The 23,067-nt window shown below is 46.2% G+C and overlaps 1 protein-coding gene across 6 annotated transcripts in view, besides 2 other annotated features; it reads right to left on the bottom strand.

The window, feature by feature from the left end:
* Positions 1-292: 292 nt before the first annotated feature.
* TUFT1 (tuftelin 1) overlaps positions 293-23,067 on the bottom strand; it is a 43,275-nt gene continuing 20,500 nt past the window's right edge. For 2 of the 6 annotated variants that reach the window (XM_017002223.3, NM_020127.3), the window contains exons 2-13: positions 21,711-21,785; positions 21,190-21,291; positions 19,886-19,972; positions 19,262-19,351; positions 17,648-17,713; positions 14,106-14,219; positions 9,478-9,606; positions 8,871-8,965; positions 5,050-5,155; positions 4,144-4,227; positions 2,834-2,934; positions 293-2,232 (exon numbers count right to left, since the gene is read on the bottom strand). In XM_017002223.3, coding sequence (XP_016857712.1) covers positions 2,169-2,232; positions 2,834-2,934; positions 4,144-4,227; positions 5,050-5,155; positions 8,871-8,965; positions 9,478-9,606; positions 14,106-14,219; positions 17,648-17,713; positions 19,262-19,351; positions 19,886-19,972; positions 21,190-21,291; positions 21,711-21,785 — 1,113 coding nt within the window. In that variant the 3' untranslated portion in view covers positions 293-2,168. Of the gene's footprint in view, positions 2,233-2,833; positions 2,935-4,143; positions 4,228-5,049; positions 5,156-8,870; positions 8,966-9,477; positions 9,607-14,105; positions 14,220-17,647; positions 17,714-19,261; positions 19,352-19,885; positions 19,973-21,189; positions 21,292-21,710; positions 21,786-22,019; positions 22,159-23,067 lie in introns of all 6 variants that reach the window. The other 4 variants (NM_001126337.2, XM_017002224.2, NM_001301317.2 and 1 more) reach the window with 3 other exon arrangements.
* Positions 8,212-9,411: an enhancer, noted in NCBI's record as "MED14-independent group 3 enhancer chr1:151546941-151548140 (GRCh37/hg19 assembly coordinates)". NCBI's record gives its function as "activates an origin of replication core promoter dependent on BRD2, BRD4, P300/CBP and CDK7 cofactors, and independent of MED14, by STARR-seq in HCT116 cells {active_cell/tissue: HCT116}" and the evidence as "EXISTENCE:reporter gene assay evidence [ECO:0000049][PMID:35650434]".
* Positions 14,809-15,103: a silencer, noted in NCBI's record as "tiled region #12940; HepG2 Repressive non-DNase unmatched - State 15:Elon". NCBI's record gives its function as "represses a minimal TATA promoter and a strong SV40 promoter by Sharpr-MPRA in HepG2 cells {active_cell/tissue: HepG2}" and the evidence as "EXISTENCE:reporter gene assay evidence [ECO:0000049][PMID:27701403]".

The raw sequence follows: 23,067 nt of genomic DNA, 5'->3' as shown, positions 1-23,067 counted from the left end.
ATCTCTTCCAAATGAGACACAATGCGGCCAGGCTTAGGGATCCTACAAGGCCATTGCTCCAGAGAGGGTCAAAGCTAAAGTTAGGGGCTGCCTCCTACAATCACGACTCAGAGCACGGAGGTGAGCTTCTTCTAATACCTCTATAAATGCCACAAAGTCCTCATATCATGGCATTTGGGATGTTTGGACCACACCTCCCACATGTGGATAACAGGGTGCCCATCTTCCAAGAAGCACTAAAATGTTCTTCTTTCATCCTCCCTGAAAAGTGAAAGGAAACCAGACCAGGAGGTCAAAGAGACACATTAATATAATTTATTAAATTCGCCATACAAAGAATATGCCACAGACAACAATATCAGAAAGGGAAGAAACATGGATATCACCTGCTCTGACCCCCTCATTTTACAAATGAGGGAACTCCCTGAAATCCCAGAGCATTGTTATGGACAAAGCCAGAATGTGAGCCCAGTCTTGAGACACAGAAACACACAGACTTAAGGATTCTGGCTGCGTGAGCCACATAGAGCCTAAACACTTAATCCACATTTGTTTTGAATTTTTCTGATTCCTATAGTACCATACTCTGATGCCTATCTACTTCTCAAGGTTGTAGGAAGAGCCCTAAAGAAAAACACCATGGGCCGGGCGCAGTAGCTCAAGCCTATAATCCTAGCACTTTGGGAAGCCGAGGTGGGTGGATCACCTGAGGTCAGGAATTCGAGACCAGCCTAGCCAGTATGGTGAAACCCCATCTCTACTAAAAATACAAAAATCAGCCAGGCGTGGTGGCACACCTGTAGTCCCAGCTACTCGGGAGGCTGAGGCAGAAGAATCGCTTAAATCCGGGAGGCAGAGGTTGCAGTGAGCTGAGATCGCGCCACTGCACTCCAGCCTGGGTGACAGAGTGAGACTCTGTCTCAGAAAAAAAAAAAAACAATAAAAAAAGAAAACCATGATGACCTGCAGGGTCATTCAGAGCCAGGATAAAAGACCAATTATGGAGCAAGGGGTTCAGAAGGGCTAGTGAAGAACTCATCTGGGTCCCAGAAGAGTCCTGATTGCCCTCTTTCTCCAAACAACATATACTCTGACCCCAAAGCCTCAGGGAAAGTAGACTCACCTTCCTTAGCTGCAGAGCAAGTTTGAAGGAGAAAGAGAGAAGAAACAGGCAGAGGAAAGGGAGAGAAAGATTCATAATAGTGTCACTCTGACATTAACAAGCCTAATGGGAACAGTTTTCCCGGTTTCAAGCAAATCCAAATACTGCAAGAGAAGGCTATAGAACTTTGGTATTATATCAATCATGAGATGTAAGCAAAACCACCAATAACTTAGCAAAATAAATACAAAGAGGATTTTGCTGGGACTGGTGGAACCCAGTGAAAACAGTTTTCAGGCTCTGGGTCAAGAAGACTGAGGTGTGCCTGGTGGTACACCTTAGGGAAAATCCCTAAAGAGACTCTGGGAGTTTTCACAGCAGAGAGAAGTCACACATGACTGTCTGTAGCCCTAGAGAATTTTTCCGCAAAAGGCTACTCCCTGAATGTACATTCCCTCCTCCCCAGAAAGACAAGGCCACCCAGTCAAAGCTTAGGTTCACTGGCTCTCACCAGGCCTTGCCAGGTAACCCCACTATCTGTCTGCAGGAGGCCAGGGCAGCGTAGGCTGCAGATGGAGCAAGTAGAAAAACAAACAGTTTGTTGCTAAGAACTGAGCTGTGTTTGTGGAAGGAACTTCATTCCCCCAGGACATTCTCCAATCACTCTGGACATCTGTGTCTCCAGCTTTTAGGGCTGAGGCAAATCTTGTCACCTCTCCCAATCTGATGAAGGCCTGGCTTATGGCACAGCCAGAGTCCAGTCTACAACAGAAGGGAGGCTCTCTACAGAGAAAAATAGTCACTGTAGGAATATAGATATTGCCCTGGCTCCTGCTTGCAGGACAATGTCTTCCAAAGGGCTGCAGTGCCTTGAATAGGTGCTCGTGCTCCGTCTGCCCAGCTTAGAGTGGCCAGGGGCTTGGGAATGGTGAGACACAGGAGCCCGAAGTCCTGGGTGCAGCCAGGGGACAGTCAGGAAGTCAAAGGCAGTGTTAACAGCCAACAGGGGCAGTGGGCTTCTCCGAGGCAGAGGCAGCAGCAATGGCAGCAACCATCTCCAGGCAGCTCAGGTTTCCACCACTCGGATGACAGGCATGGGCTTCGGGCTAGGCGGCTTGGATATCCTAATACTGAAAAGAAGGTTGGAAACACTGAGTTGTGCTGGGAACAGCTGTGTTGTGGCCCACCCTTCACAGAGCCCCTGGAATCTTCACATTGGCCTCTGGAATCTTACACTGCAGTGCTGGCTGATCACTTGGGTTCCAAGTGCTTTAAAACAGTAATTATCAGTGACAACTAGGGGAAGATTTGGGGCATGATACATGTGTCTTGTAGCAAGGGTGAAGAAAAGAGAGGGGCAGTTAAACAACTGAGAAGTGGATATAGCTGTGATTCTCGATTTTGTCAAGATCATGGGTCCTTTTCTGAATCTCTTAGAGGCAAAATACCCTCTCCCTAGAAATATGCAAACATTATAACTAAATTTTTCCTACCATTTCAGGTGGTTCATACATCTCTAGAAGCCATTCATGGACCTCCCTGGGCTTGTGTTAACAGGTTCTACTCTAATTGGGCTAGAAAATGGTTCCGGCAAACAGTGGGTCAGACTGAGGGAGGAAAGTTGGATTTAAAGGAGCCTTGTTCTTGCCTTAGCACTAAAGGTTCTACAGAGCTCTGTCCCTCCTTCTCCCCTCCTCCCTGGCCCCATTCTATCTACACACGCTCACTCACCTGCCCGGGTTCTCTGTCTTGGCCCGGGCCTGGGTGCTGAAGTTGCCATGACTGATTTGTTTTTCTATCAGGTGTTCCATCCGGTCATGCATCTCTAAATTCTGTAACACAAGCTTAGGGGTTAGAGTTGGCCTTTTTCTGGCTTCCCGGGTGCCACGTTCAGCTAGTGCATTCTGGTCTCTCTGCCTGTGTTTATGCTGCTGTTGCCTCTACCCCCACCATGCGTGCCACCACCTGGATACCCACTTGCCTCATCTTCATTACCATAGATTGCGCTTATCCTCCAATACCTGCTCCTCCATAACTCTGTACAACACTGACAGACTGATGGTTTCCTATATGTCCTCTACATACAGTTCTTTTTTTTTTTTTTTTTTTTTTGAGATAGGGTCTCACTCTGTTGCCCAGGCTGGAGTGCAGTGGCGTGATTATAGCTCACTGCAGCCTCGACCTCCTGGGTTCAAGTGATCCTCTCCTTTAAGTCTCCCAAGTAACTGGACTACAGATGCATGCCACCACATCTGGTTAATTAAAAAAATTTTTTCTTTTTCAGAGACAAAGTCTCACTATGTTGCCTAGGTCTTGAACTCCTGGCCTCGAGCAATCCTACCGCCTCAACCTCCCTAAGTGCTGGGATTACAGGCATGAGCCACTGCACCTGGCCCCTATATATAATTTTTTGTCCTCAGTTGAGATACTCACTTGCCTTTGTTGATACGCTATTCTATAAAGCATTCTTTGGTCTTTTTAAAAATACACATTTTATCTCTGACTATAGACTGCAAACTCTCTAAAGATAACCCTTTCTCCCATTTTTCTCCCTCACTACAGGGGATCTTCACAGAGCGTTCGCAAAGTGATCTTCAGGTAGTCAACAGACAGGTAGGGCCCTGTGGCAAAGTGGAAATTAGACTAGGAAGGCAACTCGTTACGTAATCTAGCCCTGGAAAAGGCTCCATCTGTATGAATGCCTCCTCCTCCTTCACAGCCCAGCACCACTGCCAGCTCCTTTGCAAAGCCTGGAGGGTCAGAATTAGCCGTGTGCAGCCATGGCATGTGGCTTGCACCATGATGACATGTCCGTTGAAGGTGGGGCCAGGGGGGTGGTCATCTCATCATTGTTAGCAGCTTCCTGAAGGTTCTCAGAAAATGTTTATTCAGCTGAACTGAAAGTCAACCAACCACCCTAGGTATTCACTTCAGAGCAACAGCAAGACATGACAAAGACCCCTCCCATAACCTCTGTCTCCCTTATGTCCACCTTCTCTTCAAGAGTCCTGTTCCCCTGCTGGGCTGCCCAGCACACACACCTCTGCCTCCAGATAGGCGATTTTCTCCTTGAGCTCCTGGATGGTGGCGTCCTTTGACTGGATCACAGCTTTTGAATTCTGGAGCTGCAAAGGTGTGGGAGACACTGGAGCTCATTTTGCAATGACTCATTACACACTCACCAGACTTCACCCCAGCTGCTGGGGAAGGCAGCAGAGCCCTGCAACTCCATATGACTTCATTAGCTTTTCTACAAAGGCCTCCTTTCAGTCAATATTAGACTCTTGATTATCCCAGGGGTGGGAGTGAGGAGTGTGTGAGGGGAATACCACCCTGAGAATCCAAAATAATGAATGACAAAACCCATTCCATATGGCTTTGGAAAATACAAATTATTTTTTCATTCAAGACATATTTATTGAGTACTTACTATATGACTGACTCTGTTCGAGATAATGGAAAACAGCACTAAATAAAACAGACACTAATGGAGCTGACATGAAGCACATACAGCCTCCCAGTTATGGGGCCTTAGGCTCTCAAAACAATTCTGCAAATAGACAAATCCTAAGTATGCTACCCTCAAGCTCAGGTGGGGTAAGGCAGGAAAGCAGCCATGAGGCTCAAAGACTGATAATCTGCACAGATAACAGAGTTTATTATGACTCAACTACTCATTTACCCACACTCTTCACAGAGTATATGACAAATTAACCTTTTCCTTCCTTTCCTATTGGAAAGCAGAGGCCAAATGGCAAACAAACAAACAAAACAGTAGGGGAAAGATGGGAGAAAAGCAAATCCTAATAACCTGAACCTGGTAATTGGTAGCTATAAATGTTTGACATGGGAAATGCATGAATATAAGTCAAGCTCCCTAGGAAACAAATAAGAGCATAGACTTGGGGTGACTCCCCGAGGGCAGGTTACAAACCAGCCCAACTTACCTGCTCTATCATTTGCCGGACTTTCCGCTGCTGGCTCTTGAGCATGTCATCCAAGTGGTGGATCTTCTCCCGCAACCCGGCCACTTCCTTTTCCAGGGTAGCAGCCCTGGGGATAAAGACCAGAAGGCTGAGGCAATGGAACAAGATCACTTATTTACCCAGTCACAGGAAGAGCCTTGAGCTTGGGAGGTTCCCATTAATATGATTCCCTTTGCCTGATTCCCTGGTAGGCTGCTCTGAAGAGTAGGTGGTGGGTACCTTAGAATATCACATTGGAAGCACTGAGGTCAGGAGTTCAAGACCAGCCTGGCCAACATAGTGAAACCCCACCTCTACTAAGAATACTAAAATTAGCCAAGTGTGGTGGCGTGTGCCTGTAGTCCCAGCTACTCAGGAGGCTGAGGCACAAGAATCGCTTGAACCCAGGAGGCAGAGGTGGCAGTGAGCCAAGATGGCGCCACTGCACTCCAGCCTGGGTGACAGAGCAAGACTTTGTCTCACAAAAAAAAAGAATATTACATTGGAAGCATCATCAGGGATCACCTAGTCTAAGAGAGGAAACTGAGGCTCGGAAAGGTTAGAAGGGATAAGTCATTCTGGATAACTCTGGAGGGTAAATCTAGAAGCAACAGGTAGATGGTTCCAGGGAAGCTGTTTTTATATTAACACAGGAAAGACTTTCTTAGTATTAAAGCTGTCAGAAAGTGGCCAGTCTCATGTGTAATGAACTCCTCGTTACTGGAAAGATTCAAGTAGAAGCTAGGATTTCCCTCTCCGACCTTTTCTTTTTTTTTTTTTCCGGAGACAGGGTCTCACTCTGTAGCCCAGGCTGGAGTGCAATAATGCAAACATGGCTCACTGCCAGGTTGACCTCCTGGGCTCAAGCAATCCTCCTACCTCAGTCTCCCATGTAGCTGGGACTACAGGCACATGCCACCACATCTGGCTAACTAAAAAAAAATTTTTTTTGTAGAGACAGTCTCAGCATGTTGGCCAGGCTGATCTCGAACTCTTAAACCCAAGCAATCCTCCTGTCCCGGCCTCCCAAAGTGCTAGGATTACAGGTGTGAGCCGCCATGCCCAGTTGGAGCTGGGATTATTATACTCAACACCATCAAGCTGTTGGCAGGGATTTGGAGGAGAAAGACAGAATTTGAGGCTCCTTAAAGCCTCTTCACACAATTTTGTTTCTAGGTCTCCTGATTCCCAAACCACTGTTGCTTCCTTTGCATCTTCTAAGCAAACTGAGCCAAGATCCCCCAAAGGGCAGTGTAAAATAATAAGAAATATATAATGGGTCTCTGTCCCGGTTCCTGACATACAGCACCTATGTTTTGTTATATTTGGTCACATTCCCTGGTTCCTGAGCCTTTGCATCTCCAAGACTGATGAGTGTCTTTTTGTATGCTAATGATGACTGGTGGCTGGGGTCCCTAGATAGCTTCAGGATGGGGCTAGTGAAAAGACCAAGGCATGATTAAAGGGTTGAAACTTTCAGCCCCACAACTCCCCCTAGCCTCTGGGAAAGGGACAGGGGATAGGAGCTAGAGACTAAACTAATCACCAGTGGCCAATAATTTAATCAATCATGCCAATGTAATGAACCGCCACAAGAACCCTAAACAAAGGGGTTCAGAGCTTCCAGCTTGGTTAATGCATCCACCTGCTGACCTTGCCCTATGTACCTCATCTGTTTGTTCATTTGAATCCTTTATATTATCCTTTATCATAAGCCAGTAATAAGTGAAATGTTGGCCAGGGGCAGTGGCTCATGAATATAATCCCAGCACTTTAGGAAGGCGAGGTGGGAGGATTGCTTGAGCCCAGGAGTTCGAGACCAGCCTGGGCAACATGGCAAGACCCTGTGTCAATGAAAAACTTTTTAAATTAAAAAAATAAGTAGTCCAGGCGCGGTGGCTCATGCCTGTAATCCCAGCACTTTGGGAGGTCAAGGCGGGCAGATTGCTTGAGGTCAGGATTTCAAGACCAACCTGGCCGACATGGTGAAACCCCATCTCTACTAAAAATACACAAAATTAGCCGGGTGTGGTGGCACACGCCTGTAGTCCTAGCTACCTCCTGGGAGGCTGAGGCTGAACCCAGGAGGCGGAGGTTGCAGTGAGCCGAGATTGCACCACTGCACTCCAGCCTGGGCGACAGAGTGAGACTCCGTCTCGAAAAATAAATAAATAAATACGGAAAATGTTTACCTGAGTTCTATGACAGCAAACCCATTACAGCAAGTTAACAAACCTGAAAAGAGGATATGGGAACCCCCAATTTATAGCCAAGTTGGACAGAAGTGTAGGTACCCTAGACCCCACTACTTGTGACTGGCATCTGAAGCAGGGGCAGTCTTGCAGGACTGGCCCTTAATCTGTGGTTCTGCACTAACTCTGGGTCGTCTCAGAATTGAATTAAAGTGTAGGGTGCCCAGCTGGTATCAATTGAGAATTGGAGAAGTGCTTGGTATGGAAAACCCACATATTTGGTGTAAGAAGTGTTAGGAGTAGAGGAACAGTCTTCTTCTAGTCAGGCTACTTGGGAGAGTATCCTGGGGTTTGGGCCCCTGAAGAATCCATCACTCCCCAGTTCTGCCTGAGGAAGCTGACAAGCGCATGCTGCTTGGGGTACAATGCAACATGAGCTACCCCTTATCCTTCCTAAACTCCAAGCATTCTAAATTTCCACCTTCAGCTCTCCAATGCCCTACTTCTCAGTCTCCTTTTAGGTAGAAAATCAGCACGTACATGGCACAGCTGTCACTGCCATTCCCAAACCCTGGCTTCCGATTATCTAGTCCTTTTGGTCTCTCTTGCTCTGCCCATGCGCACCTACCCACCGAGGAAGGAGTGCTGACTAATTCTGATATTAATTCTGATATAAAGTCCAGTCAGAAAGGAGGCTACAATATGACACGTGTATTTTCCATGCCAGGAAGGTCAAATCTAGGTTATCCTAAAGGAGAGAAAATGCCTCCAAGACTGAGGGGCCCTGAAGGGCAAGAATTGTGTCTGTTCATCTTGGAATTCCTTAAAAGGCCCTTCAGATAATGTCTTGTTGAACTAAAAAAGGTCCACCTTACACAATGAAGATCAAACCAAATATGCTGATGTTAAATGTGATTTACCATTTGAGGTCTTATTTATTAATTGCCAACAGCATAACTTCCAAATTCCTGAAGTTCTAGAAGGCACAATCTTTGCTCTGTAGGCTTCATTGGTTGTCTGGGGCCTCTGATTTCCTCTGATCAGAGGGAATTTGCAAAACCCTCTCACCTTGGAGGTAGAAAGGATCTCAGTGATCACCTACGGGACCCTGCTGACAGGTGGTTCTCAGTTTCTATCTGCATTGCTTCAAGTAACAGGAAGTTCAGTATCTCCTCATGAAGCTGCTCATTCCATTTTTCATCAGCATGACTGTTAATCAATTTTACCCTCAAACAGTTTACAGTCAATTTTTGTTTCGGTGGGGAGGAAACGAAGGCATAACATATCCACTGCACTAATCTGTGGAATGACACACAGCAACAGCAGATGCTCCACCAGCTCTTGCTTGCCCTTGGCTCTAAAACTGTGAAAGCCTTTTCTTTAGGTTATTACCCCATGGAAAATGAACTCCCTGGAGATGGCGGCCTCCCAAATGGTATCTCTTGGGTGGGGCTCCACCCTGAGCAAGCTCACGGTGAGTCAGAGCTGGAAGATCTGACATCAGCACCAGCTTCCTCCCCAGACCAGGCCACCACAGGAGCAACAGGCTGTATGGCCTGCCCTCCCCTCCCTGCAACCCAACTTCACCGTGAACAAGAGCCAAGCCCTTACTTTTCTCGTTCTGCTTGGCAGTCAGCATTGTTGCTCCGAAGTTCCTCTAGGGCCACCTCCCCTTCCCTCACTTTCGCCAGTAAGGCCTGATGCTCCTGGGTGGGCCACAAAAGAAAATCTAGGATGAGAAGATGGCAACAGTTTCTGCGTTTGGGCTAAGATGGGCGCCAGGCTGGGACTCAGCCCCTACTGGGCCTGGACAGCTGCCAAAGAGCAGCAAGATGAGCTGGTTTGATGGGGAGCCATCCCTTGATGAGGAGAACCCTTCCCACTCTCACTCAGCCTCACCCAGCTGCCCTGAGGCAGAACCCAGCCCTGCATCATGCAGGCCCACTCGCCAGCTATGGCTGCCAGTCCCTGAGAAACCAGGACTTCAAAAGGGGCATCTGTACAGGAATCTAATGTGGAAATAGGATCAACTCTAGTTAGGGGGAGGCTAATTCCTTGAAGGCTAAAATGTATTCCAAGGGATCTGCCAAAGGAAGGTGCGAAGTGTGCTTTTCTGGAGAGGCTTGGAAAAGAAGGGTCTCGGCAACCGTTTCGATCCACCTGCAGGCCCCTTCCAGCCCAGGAGTCCAGGCACTGACAAGCAAGATCCCCCGGTTACCGTCTCCATCCCTAGCAAGCGCCTCTGCAGCTCTCCGACTTCTGCCTCTTTCTGCTCCACTCTGTCCTCCTCTCTCTGAAGGGCCACATTACTTTGTTCTGCTTCCCTCTGGTACCGGCTGAGTGTGACCTAAAACACGGAGCAGGAATATGTTAAATGGTGTGGAAAAAAGAGCAAACATGGAAAAAAACCTTAGAAAAGAACCCAGGAACCTGGGCGGCTCTGGAGCCATGACGGGAGAAAGGTGGTGACACTGATGGGCTCACCACCACCTCCCCTTCACTGCACAGGACCACCTCAGCACTCCAGCAGGGTGTCTATTTCCAGGGTTAACTGGCTCACAGTTGATTGAGGTCCACTTTAAAGTGACACCTGGAACCCACAAGCACCACTTTTCAGATAGGTGACTCCTTCAACATCCCCATGAACCCTCCACCACCACCCAAGCTTAACCCAATGTTGTGGCTTTCCTACAAATTCAAAAGCAAATAATCCCAGGGAGGATACCTCCAGTTCCTTTCTTCTGTCTCCTCAACACCTCCCCTCTCACTTCCAGCAATAGAGCCCACACACAACAGCCAAAATGGCACCTGGAAGGGCTACTAAGCATCAGGAAGAATTTGTCTTATTTATTTATTATTATTATTTTTTTTTGAGACAGAGTTTCACTCTTGTTGCCCAGGCTGGAGTGCAATGGCACGATCTTGGCTCAATGCAACCTTTGCCTCCTGGGTTCAAGTGATTCTCCTGCCTCAGCCTCCCGAGTAGCTGGGATTACAGGCATGTGCCACCACGCCCAGCTAATTTTGTATTTTTAGTAGAGACGGGGTTTATCCATGTTGGTCAGGCTGCTCTCGAACTCCTGACCTCAGGTGATCCGCCCGCCTTGGCCTCCTAAAGTGCTGGGATTACAGGAGTGAGCCTTTTATCAGAGATGAGAAACCAATTTAGAGGATAGAAGCAGAATGTTAGAATGAGAAAGCAAAGAACTTGCCTCCTTTCTTCCAACTTGCATCTTTCCAACTCCTACTCATCCTCCAGGTCTCACTTAGATGCCCCTTCTTCCAGAGAGCCTTCAGAGCCTGGGGGAGGAGCCCTTCCTTTGTGTGTCCAGGGAGAGGACATACAAGGAACACACGGCCTTCCCTCTCATAGCATTGAACAGATTTTGCCCAGTCACTCTGTGCACCCCGAAGTAGACTGTCAGTGTCCTGATGGCACAGACCTGAGCACCATTACACTTCCAGAGCTCCCACAGTACCTCATATGCAGTAACTACTCAATAAAATAATGAGTGGAACTGACGTTCTTCTAATCCAACCCTCTCCTTTAACAAGTAAAGGTCAACTGACCTAGTCAAGGTTACACAGCTAGTGAATGACAGCCAGTGCTAGCACCCAGATACTTCACCATCCATTTCAGTGCTTCCCAGGTGCCTCACACTGACTGCTCATCATTTATTAAAAAAGAATCCAGGTAACTTCTGGAAAGCCTAGCAGCCAGCCCTGGGAAAACAGAACATCAGCAGCCAGTTCGTCCAGCCCCTCCCAAGGTCAGAACTGGGGAGGAGAAAGTACGGCACAGGTGATGTGTGATGGGACGTGTCCATGCTACACACCAGCCATGTCCAGAGCAAACTCACTCTCACTGCAAATCCTTCTTGACAGCAAGCAGCCAGTAGAACAGGAAACCCATGCTTAATGGCAAGTTATTTTCATGGTAATTGATCATCTTGCCTTTCCTACCCATAGGTTCAGAAAAGTAGACCAAGGAGTCCAATTCACTAGGAGAGACTGAGACAAGCCTTCATATGACCCATATTAACCTGAAATAGGCCATCCCCATAGGCAGGAACTTAAAAGTAAGGCCTTTTAAAAAAATTTTATTTATGTACATTTATTTATGTTTATTTATGTACATTTCTGTACATAAATAAACACTGCACCTAGGTTGATGTGAGCTCAAGCACAGTGTTAATAAGGCCATGGTCTGATTCTTGCACCCCACTGTCGGAGCAAAAGGTTAAAAAAAATAGACTCCCCTTCCACATTTGACTCTGTAGCTCCAGCCAACCCTGCCCGCAAGGGAACCTCTTAATTATAAAAAGGTGTGCCAACCTAGCCCAACAGTGGGAATGACCCGAGGAGCACCTCCTTTTTTAAAAAAAAAATTATTTATGTACCATATTTATTATTTTTTAGACAAAGTCTCAATCTGTTGCCCAGGCTAGAGTGCAGTGGCACAATCATAGCTCACTGCAGCCTCCACCTCCTGGGCTCCAAAAATTCTCCCACCTCAGCCTTCCAAGTAGCTGGAACCACAGGCATGCTCCACCACACCAGGCTAATTTTTTTATTTTTGTAGAGATGAGATCTATGCTGGCCAGGCTGGTCTCAAACTCCTGGGCTCAAGGATCCTCCTGCCTTGGCCTCCTGAGGCCTCCTGAGGCCTCCTGGCTCACAGGTGTGAGCCACAGCGCCCAGCAAGAAGAAGCATCTCCTACTGCTGCAGGTGGTCCTGCATACTATGGGGTTAAGAAAAATAACCCCTTCTAAATTCTGGGCAGTGGGCTATAGCTGTCAGGGCACTTTTGCTCAGGCTCTGAAATCCAGAGCGGCAGACTCCTCCATGTGTGATTAAAACCAGCAAATATTTCTATAATTTCCACAACTTCATAATGTCTCTCAGTGCAGAAATTTTTTTCCAAAATTCACAACCTGGTCAGTGCTAGAGCCTCAACCTTCCTTTCTTCCTGTTTTGTTTGGAAAAGGTAGGAAACTGCTGGTCACCAACTGATACATCACCAACTAAATTATACAAATTGTGGAATCTGAAATAGATGCAACATACCTCTTCACCACACAGCTACTTTGTTCTGAGATGACAAACTAATTTTAATATTACCCTAAGTCCAAGCTATTAAAATAGGAAAATCTCCTTGTTAAACTGATTGCTAAGAAAAATATAGACTATTTTATATTTCTAAAACCCTTCAGAATAATAAAGTGCCCTCACATATATTACCTCACTCGATCTACACAACAAACTTGTAAGGTGTATTTCATTAACCCTTTTTCCAAAAGTTGAAACAGATGCTTGGAGAGGTTAAACTACTTGTTCAAATAATACTTCGGCTAACATAGAAGCAGTTTATCATCCTTGGTGCCCTTCCTCCTCACCGCCAAGCCTCTTCTCAAAAATTCTCCTTCTCAGTTCCATGAAAATGAAGAGTTCAAGCTGGCCTTTCTCTTTTTACCAGCTCCTAGCATGCCTAGGCAGGCTATAACCCTATCATAACATATTTATAACACAAAGAATACATTACTTGTGGAAGAACAAAAGCAGGTAACAGATGGTTAACCTCACACAGAGCAGTTGGAAAACTGCCCATGGGCCAGGTGTGGTGGCTCATGCCTGTAATCCCCACATTTTGGGAGGCTAAGGCACGCAGACTGCTTGAGCCTTGGAGTTTGAGACCAGCCTGGGCAACATGGCAAGACCCTGTCTCTACAAAAAACACAAAAATTAGCCAGGCATGGTGGTGTGCACCTGTTGTCCCAGCTACTCAGGAGGCTGAAGTGGGAGATGGCTTGAGTCCGGGAGATGGAGGTTGCATTGAGCCAAGATCATGCCACTGCACTCAAGCCTGGCAATAGAGTGAGACCCTGTCTCCAAAGACAGAAAGAAAACTGCCCATGTACCTTGTTTTATACTCAAAGAATTTTCTAGAAAATATGGAAGACCTCACATATAGTAGGGGGCTTTTACTCTCCATTTATAGATTTCTGTATTATAACAATAATTAATATACTCATTCCAGGCCGGGCATGGTGGCTCGTGCCTGTAATCCCAGCACTTTGGGAGGCTGAGGCAGGTGGATCACAAGGTCAGGAGATCGAGACCATCCTGGCCAACATGGTGAAACCCCGTCTCTTCTAAAAACACAAAAATTAGTTGGGCATGGTGGCGCATGCCTGTAGTACCAGCTACTCGGGAGGCTGAGGCAGGAGAATTGCTTGAATCCGGGAGGCAGAAGTTGCAGTGAGCCAAGATTGCGCCACTGCACTCCAGCTTGGCAGCAGAGTGAAAAAAAGATACTCATTCCAGACCACAAAGCTCTGCATAGCAAAGCTGAGTTTAGAGCCCAAATCCTCCAACTCGATGGGTACAGTTCTTTCTACAACAACACAGATTTAGTCACTCATCCAGTCCACGTTTATGAAGCACCTATCTAATACCAGGTATTGCACCAGACACTGGAGACTCGGGGGTGACATGTCAGCAGCAGTCCTTGCCTGCACGGAGTCTCAAGAGCCCAGGGATTCTTACCACGACACAGACAGAAATGACTTCTGAATCACCGGCTGCCCCAGATGGGCACCACCCTCAAACTCATCAGAGCAGAGAATCCCGAGCTGACCTTTGAACTATGGGCTGGCCTTGGACAGTAAACAGTGTAAACGTCCAGGAGAGGGAAAAGCAGACAAGCGTTCCAGGCTTCACAGCCTTGCCTTTCCAGTTTGTGGCACTCAGCCAGAAAGACAGGAAGTCCAAGCTGAGACATCACTGGCACCTGTGTTCAGTAGCCCATCCCTTAGGGCACCTTCTCCCCAAATCCCAAATCTCACCTCAAAAGCCACACAGTCTGACTGGTGTTGCCGCTTGGCCTCCTGAAGCTTGGCCAGCAAGTCCTGCACCGTCTTCCTCAAGCTCTCAACATCCTCATTTATACAGGTGTCCACCTACAGCCAGAACAAGGAAGGGAAGGGGAAGCCCTCAAGTTTCTGACTCAGTAAGAAAAGGTCCCCCCTCCCAGGCACACACTGGTTTGGACCATCTCGTCCAGACCACCCTCAAAAAAGAACTGTCATCACACAAGGGGAGAGTTACCTTAGGCAGCCAGGAATTCTGAGTTATTCAATGAAACATTGTCCCTTCATACCCTAAAGAACCCTGCTAGCCTCAAAACACCCAATTATTTTAGGACATGCTCAGTAATATTTCATGTATGTATCCACTAATCGATTTCTTGGTGAATATGTGGATGCTGTCTGTAGGTGTGCATCCTGCTTCCCTCTATCTGCCTACAGCTCTCTGAGAGCAGAGACCATGTTCCCCTTTGGACTAGAGTTCCCACAGGACAGGGACTATGTCGCGCCCATCACAAAGGGAGTGGTCCAAAAGCACATCCTTTACCATTCTCAGCTTTTGGCACTGACAGCAGCATATAAAGGGTTACTGATGGATGGACAGGTTTAGGGCAAAAGCATGCAATGAGTCCACGAATCTGATTCGATGTGGAAAAAGGTGTCTCATCGAGGTAACTGCTCAGTCTCTCCCAGACACACCCAACTGTGGGCTGGTGGTTAGAGATGAGCTAACATGTAGGGTCTCACCCCCGTCTCTGCTGCACAGGCACCAGACACTGGAGGAAGACAGTGTCCCAGTCTCTGCATCATCATCCTGTGGGTGATAATGAAGAAGTGAAGTCCTGTGGGCCTTCATTTCTTTATCTGTGAGGCAGTCAGTACACTCCCTACCACACCCTGCCTTACAGGCTGCCTCAAAACTAGGTAAGATAACATCCGGTACAGCTTTGAGCTTGTGAGAAGAAAGAGGCCAAACAGATATTACCAGGTGTTATTATAATTTGTTGCCAACAATGTATTTGCCAAATATGGTGATTCAAAAGAAGGAGAAAGTCCAAGCTGCCCATCTAAAGCAAGTGGTTAGAATCACAGCATTCCAAATCTAGATGTCATGAGTTATCCAGTCAATTTCCCTAAATCCTCACCTGAGCCAATGGCCTTTAAAAGGTTCCTGGAACACAGCTATTATGCACTTATTTCAAAGAGTGTTCTCATAAGACTGTTTAATGACATGGAAAACTTTCATGAAAATATTATTTCATCATATGATATAACATGAAGCAAAAAAGTAAGTTATAAAAGTACATGTAGGAGGCAGAAGCAATGAACTAGATTTTAATACAGCAATGTAGATAGATCCTAAAAAACACGGTACCAGGGAAAACAAGAACAAAGAGGGAAGAAGATATAGCACAAGTTCATCATGTATACTGAACATTTTACAGGCATATTTAAAGCCATATATTGAATTCATTAGAGTGAGTTTCTCTTGCAGGAGGTGGAGAGGCAAAAAAAACAAAAAACAAAAAACTGAAACCAGTGAGAGGCCTTGACAGGACCCATGAGGATGATGTGTCATGAACTAATGGGTGGGTCTGATTCAACCTATACTTGAGGGCCAAAAACACCGAATGCAAAAACATACCCAACTAAAGAAACAAAAAAAAAATTATAAAGAAATGCTACATACTGTACAATGTATTCACATGGTAAATATATATTTGCATTCGGGGAAAGATGAAATTTCACTGTGGTTTTTCTCTGAGTAGATTACAAGTGATATTTGTTTCTTCTTTCACTTTCCTGTGTTTCTGAATTTTCCAAATTTTCTACAATATGAATGTTTTGTATTGTATAATCACAAAAAAACATAATAACACACTTTTTAAAAATACAGTAATGGTGGCGGGGTGCAGTGGCTCACGCCTGTAATCCTAACACTTTGGGAGGCCAAGGTGGGAGGATCACCTGAGGTCAGGAGTTCGAGACCAGCTTGGCCAACATGGTGAAACCCCATCTCTACTAAAAATACAAAAATTAGCCAGGCGTGGTGGCTCACGCCAGTAGTCCCAGCTACTCAGTACGCTGAGGCACGAGAATTGCTTGAACCCAGGAGGTGGAGGTTGCAGCGAGCCAAGATCATACCACTGCACTGTACCCTGGGTGACAGAGCGAGACTCCATCTCAAAAAATAACAAATAAAGTACAGTCATGGAGGCCAAGCATAGTAGCTCATGACTATAATCCCAAAACTTTGGGAGGCCGAGGTGGGCAGATCACTTAAGCCCAGGAGTTTGAGATGAGCCTGGGAAACATGATGAGACCCTGTCTTTACAAAAAATACAAAAATTAGCCAGGTGTGGTGGCACGTGTCTATAGTCCCAGCCACTATAGTGGCTGCCACAGTCCCTCCCAGGCTGAGGCAGGAGGACTACCTGAGCCCAAGAGGTTGAGAATATAATGAGCCATGACTGCACCACTGCACTCCAGCTCAGATGACATAGGGAGACCCTGTCCCAAAAAATAATAATTATAAAAATTTAAAAAGTAGGCTAGGCACAGTGGCTCATGCCTATAATCCCAGCACTCTGGGAGGCGAGGCAAGCAGATCACTTGAGCCCAAGAATTCAAGAGCAGCCTGGGCAACCCCATCTCTACAAAAATTAGCCAGGCATAATGGCGCGTGCCCTATAGTCCCAGCTATTGGGTAGGCTGAGGTGGGAGGATTGCTTGAACCCCGGGGGTCGAGGCTGCAGTGAGCCATGATTGCCACTGCACTCCAGCCTGGGTGACAGGGTGAGACTCTGTCAGTCAGTCAATCAATCAATCAATCAGTCAATCAATCAAGTACAGCCATGGAAGGAAATACTATGTAGTTATTCAAAAGAATGAGGTAGATCTATATGTACTGACATGGAAAGAAGGTTATAATATACTCTTTAGTTAAGAAAAAAAAAGCAAGCAAAGAATAATGTATTTACCATGATCTTATAGTTGAGAAAAGCACATGTATATTATATACATATATTTATCATGTATATATGGTGTGTATATAACATATACATGATATTTAAATATGGTTGTCTATGTATATAAAAATATTCTAGAATACTGGCACTCAACTTTAGCTAAACATTAGTATCACCTGAAGAGCTCTTAAAAGTCCTGATGCCCAGGCCACCTATTGGAACAATGAAATGACAAGCTCTAGGGATGGGACCCAGGCATCATATCCTTTAACGCTTGCAAGGCCATTCCAATGAACAGCTGAGGCTGAGAAGCACTGCCCTAGAAAGATCCACCCACTTCAATCTGTTAACAGTGGATACTCGCAAGGAGAGAGATTGGGGAAGGAGAATTTCTACTCTTTGTATTTCTCTGTGTTTGAATTTTTATGTCAACTACTACTCTTGTATTTAATGAGAGAGAGAGAGAGAGAGAAAGCAATAAACAAAAGGATGGGGAGGAGGCAATCCTGCCCCTGGCTAAGCGGAGCCACCATGGTGTCCTCTGTTACCTACCTCAGGTGGGCTGCTGTACAGGGCTGTGGGACTCTGACTAAAGCCATTTGGCTTTTCTAGCACCACCTGTTCAAAGAAAAATAAAATTGGTAGTTAAAACAGATGAAAGCAACCAACTTTGAAACATTATTCTCCTAACACTCAAATCTTAGAAAGAGAAGGACAGGGAGAGGGAGAGGAAGGTGAAAGGGAGGGGGAGGGAGAGAGAAAAAGAAAGGGAGGGAGAAAAAGGAAGGAATGAAGAAAGGAGAAGAGGAAGAAGGAACGAAGCGAAAGAAGAAAAGATTTCTAGCGTTCCATGAGAAAATAGAAACAAGAGGGGGTGGAGAGATGTTATGCGGCCTTGAAAGGGCCTTGAAAGTCTTGTAGGGAGGATGAAAAAAACCTCAGGCTAAAATCTTTCAGCAGATGGAAAAGTATGTGTAGCCCATTCTTCTTAGCCAGGGAATACATGCAGCTGCCTGCCACAAACAAAGAGCTTCCCTTGCCCCCAGGGATCCTGATAAAGTTTGACAAAGCAAAAATTACAAAGGGAAGATCTTTTTCAATTATTTCTGACCCAAAGCCTGATTATTCATCATATGACAGCCGGTTTGTGCAAACAAGGGGGCTGGACTTTGGGCCAGTCTCTGCACACATTAGGTTCTTCTGATACCTGACAAAGTAGCTCCCACCAGCCAGATGTGAGCTCAAGCACTGAAAGACCTACCTTCAGCCAAAGCAAAAATTAGGTAATTTCCACCACACAAGTGCATGCCCAAGACAAAGAACTTTCCTTGCACCAGCTGCTGGGCCACTGTTCCCCTCAAGGGAATGAAGGCAGGGGCTGCTGCTGGAGCAAGACTCTGCCTGAACCAAAATGCAAATCAAGGATACAACTCAGAATCTAAAGGATGAGGGCGAAGTCACAAAGAGACAGCTCTGCTCTCCTGAGGACATTTCTGTCCTCGAGTTTTGGAAAAACTGAAAAGCAGGATCCCAGGATTATCCCTCCCAGGAAAGACTTACCCAATCTGTTCAGTCTAACAAACATTTACTGATGCCTTCTACATCCCAGACCTGGGGGGAATGGGAGGGTGAGGATACAGACACGAGGTGGGGTGGGGTGGGGTGAACTCCTAACCTTGAGGAACTTCCCATCCCAGGTTAGACATAACTATATACAAGATTAATAACAGGCTAGGGCACGGACTTCAATTTACGCTACAGGTATCACCCAAACTAAGCAAGATCAGCTTATGAGAAGTGTGGATTTACAGGTGATTGTCTGCTTTACAAAATTCTATTATTATAAGAAGCTTGATCACAGAATCCTTATAGATAAGAGGTTTGCTAACAACTGATGATATTTAATTTATATAAGTTCAATTTCTGTACAGTGTTTCAGGAGCAGGTGTACTTATGTTTAAGCTGACATGTGTAAATGTAAGTGCTCATCGGCTGGAGAGTCCTAACCAGATTGTGAGTGCTCCAGAGAAGCCAGCATCACCTCTATTTTCTCCATTCCTGGCAGGGATGCTAGATTTAGCACACACTGGGTAATTGGTAAATGAGACTGCCTGGCACAACCCCACCTCCTCGGTGGGGACCCAACCATGGACCATTTCCTATTACCTGTATCTCCTGTCGATGGAGAGAATCTCCTAGGTTCCTGTCAAGCTTGCTACTTATATCCTCCCGGAGCTTCTGTAGGCAGTTCCTGGCCTGGGAGGGGAGGGGAAGAAACTTGAGCTTTAGGGTAGAGAAAGAGAGCATGCCAACTCACCCAACTCTGTGCCCCATCCCTGGCCTGTACTGCGAGTCAGGCACTGTCCTAACGACTGGCTGCAGGATGGAGGGAGGGACCTTGGTCAAGTGGAGCTACAGCTGACATTCTTGTTGGGGAGACACAAGACACAAAAGACAAATAAGTAAAATGTGTAATATGTTATATGGGCATAAGTGCCAACGAGAAACACGAGCCAGGAAGGGAGTTAAGAAATGCTGTGAAAAGTGGCTGGTAATTTTCGATAGGTGGCTGGGACAGTGCTGGGCCCATAGTACTTAAGTATTTGTGGATTAATGGATCAGGTATGGTCAAAAGTTATATATTTGACACACGGGAGGGCATGGTGGCATTTCAGAGACATAAAGGAAAAAGAAGGGGAAAAACCAGAATCCACAAAAGAAGACAGTCACAAAAAATGTGAGATTTAGAGAAATGACCTAGGCACTGCGTGAGAGGTAAGGGGTGCCCACCTCCTGGATGTACTGGACCTCACTCTTCAGCTGGTTAATATTCTTCTCGTGAATCATCTTGTCTCCAGACCTCCCCTTCAAGTACACCTGAAATAAGAACACCATTTAGTTAAGAAACCTCAAATTAAATTAACTATACAAAAATAGGCAGCTTCATATAGTGCTGGTGGGAGGGTAAATTGTTACCACCAATTTACTGGGTGGAATTTGGTGATTCGGATCAGAAGACCTAAAAATATATTTACTTTTTGGTCTATCAGTTCTACTTCTGGAAATTTACCCTAATGCAATAAATTTAGCTCAATGCTATATAGCTGTATTGGCATAAACACTCACATATATACAGTCATGCATCACTTAATCATAGGAATACATTCTGAGGGATGCATCATTAGGCAATTTCATCCTTGTACAAACATCACAGAGTGTACACACACAAACCTAGATGGCATGGCCTCCTACACCCCTAGGCTGTATGGTGTACCCTATTGCTCCTAGGCTACAAACAAACCTGCACAGCATGTTACTGTACTGAATACTGTAGGTGATCGTCACACAATGGTAATGTATCTAAACCCAGAAAAAATACAGTAAAAATGGAGTATAATAATCTTATGGGACCACTGTTGTCTACGCAGTCCATCACTGACCAAAACGTTGTTATGCAGTTTTGTTATGCACTGACCAAAACTGTAACTGAGTCAATCATGTGGTATGGGATTTATATCTAAAAAAGCTGTTTTATAAAAAAAAAGAGAGAGAGAAATAACAAAAATCATTTTATTTTTTAAAAAATAAGTTCCATCAGCCAGGTGGGCTGGTGCACGCCTATAATACCAGCATTTTGGGAGGCTGAGACAGGACGATTGCTCGAGCCCAGGATTTGGAGACCAGCCCAGGGAACAAGGCGAGACTGTCTCTACAAAACTAAAAATATATAAATAAATAAATAAGTTCCATCAGGATGAACCCATTATAGGAAAACATAAGTTCCATAAACACACCTCCTACCTGTCTCCACAACCTCTAGCAGCAAAACATGGTCAGTGGATAGGCCCCTAGTAAGGTCATCCAGTCCATCCCCTTGCCTGGGGCCAGGCTGCACCAAAGTTGCTAACAGGCAGACTGTAGTCTCCTGGTATTAATTAAGATATTTCTAGGAGATTGCCAGGAACTAGCAGCTCAGGTCTGGTTCCTTCCATCAAACCACAAGCTCCCTTTGGCAACAACATCAACTGCTCCTTCTCATATACGTGCAGGGAGGAAGAGGACAGGGAGAAAAGTTGGAGGTGAACTAAGCTTACCTTAATGATCTCCTCATGTCCATCATGGGACTCCACCAGTTCTGAAGCCAGAGAATGACCAGCTGAGTGGCTGGACACCATGGCATAGGTCTTCCTGCCCGCCTGGCCAAAGAGAGATGAGAGAGAGAGAGAGAGAGAGAGATGGCTCAGACACCACATGGCAAGCCCAGAACTCCTGCCCCTCAGCTAATGCAGAAGACCTGTTTCTCAAAAGACTTGAAGGATTAGTCTGACTTTCCTCTCCAAAAATTCGTTTCCGAACTTCTAACAGAAGCCACACAGCAGCAAGAACACCGGCCAGGGAGAATGGACAGAAGTAGCAGTTTAGTTTTAATTTTAGTGGGGGACTCCTCCTGCCCCAAAGCAGTGCAGAAGGCTGAGGCAAGCTGGATGTTGCTGAAAGGAGGGGCTCCCACGCTCGCATCACCAGAGTCGGCTCCAGGCAGTACTTGGGTAAGAGGCCAGCAGCAAGGAAGCACTGGTGTGGGGAGGGGGCCTTGCCCACCAGAATTCCGCAGTACCTTCTGGGCTATGTGTTCAAGTTCATCTCCTGTCAGTTCACCCTGGAGAGTCAGCCTGAGAATGTCCACGCTGCCCTAATAATGACAATGACAGCAACAATAACCCCTCAACTTTACAGTCTACAGGTACAAACTGCTACCAGTACAGGGGTGCTTCTGCCAGCTCTGTGGAGCGGGTCTTATCATCACCACTTCACAGACTAGGAAAACTGAAGTCCAGGGAGGCAGCATTACCTTGCCCAAGATCAGGTGTTTGGGGTGGTGACTCTGGGACCACCCAACAGTTTTTTCTTTCACAACAAAGATTACCTGGCACATGGCTCTGTAGAGCTCCAGCAGGGCTACCCTGGTTCTTGGACTACAGGGAACACATTGCATGCATTCTTCTTTCTCTAGTTGTAGAGAGGTCATTCCTGGACTGCTCATCCTCAATCCAGAATTTCTGCTCCTGACAACCAGCCAGCAAGTTATTGATGCACTTTACAAGACTAGCATATTCTTCCTGAACTAAACTATAGGAAAGTACCTGAATTCAAACTCCCATTTCTATGAGCCACATGGAAATTATCCAAGTGAAAACAGGCAAGATAATAGGTATTCATCTAGAGATCAACCTAATTTCAAAGAATGAAGCAGGTTTTCTTTCATAAGTCAAAGAAGTGTGTGTGTGTGTGTGTGTGTGTGTGTGTGTGCGCGCGCGCGCGCATGACTGCAGCCTCAACCTCCCAGGCTTAAGTGATCCACCCACCTCAGCCTCCCAAGTAGCTGGGACTACAGGCGCACCAATATGCCCATCTAATTTTTGTATTTTTTGTAGACATGAGGTTTTGCCATGTTGCCCGGGCTTCAAAGAAGATTTTTTTAAAAAGGCCGGGCACGGTGGCTCACGCCTGTAATCCCAGCACTTTGGGAGGCCAAGGCAGGTGGATCACGAGGTCAGGAGATCGAGACCATCCTGGCTAACACAGTGAAACCCCGTCTCTACTAAAAAATACAAAAACAAAATCAGCCTGGCGTGGTGGCAGGCGCCTGTAGTCCCAGCTACTCGGGAGGCTGAGGCAGCAGAATGGCGTGAACCCGGGAGGCGGAGCTTGTAGTGAGCCAAGATTGTGCCACTGCACTCCAGCCTGGGTGACAGAGCAAGACTCCGTCTCAAACACTCACACACACACACACACACACACACACACACACACACACACACACACAATACTTTGCAGGGAAAATTAAAAACCTGAAAGGAAAAACGTGGTAGGAGGGAAAAGTAAGGGCCTGTAGATTGGGAAGATGATAACGTTGAGAGAAGGCTAACAAGGCAGAGTAAATCACCTGCACTATGCATGGAAGTGAATGAGGG

This window comes from Homo sapiens, chromosome 1, assembly GCF_000001405.40.
Source record: "Homo sapiens chromosome 1, GRCh38.p14 Primary Assembly".
Classification (NCBI taxonomy): Eukaryota; Metazoa; Chordata; class Mammalia; order Primates; family Hominidae; genus Homo; species Homo sapiens.
Note: the sequence above shows the minus strand (reverse complement) of the source record. Positions and strands in the feature narration are given on the sequence as shown.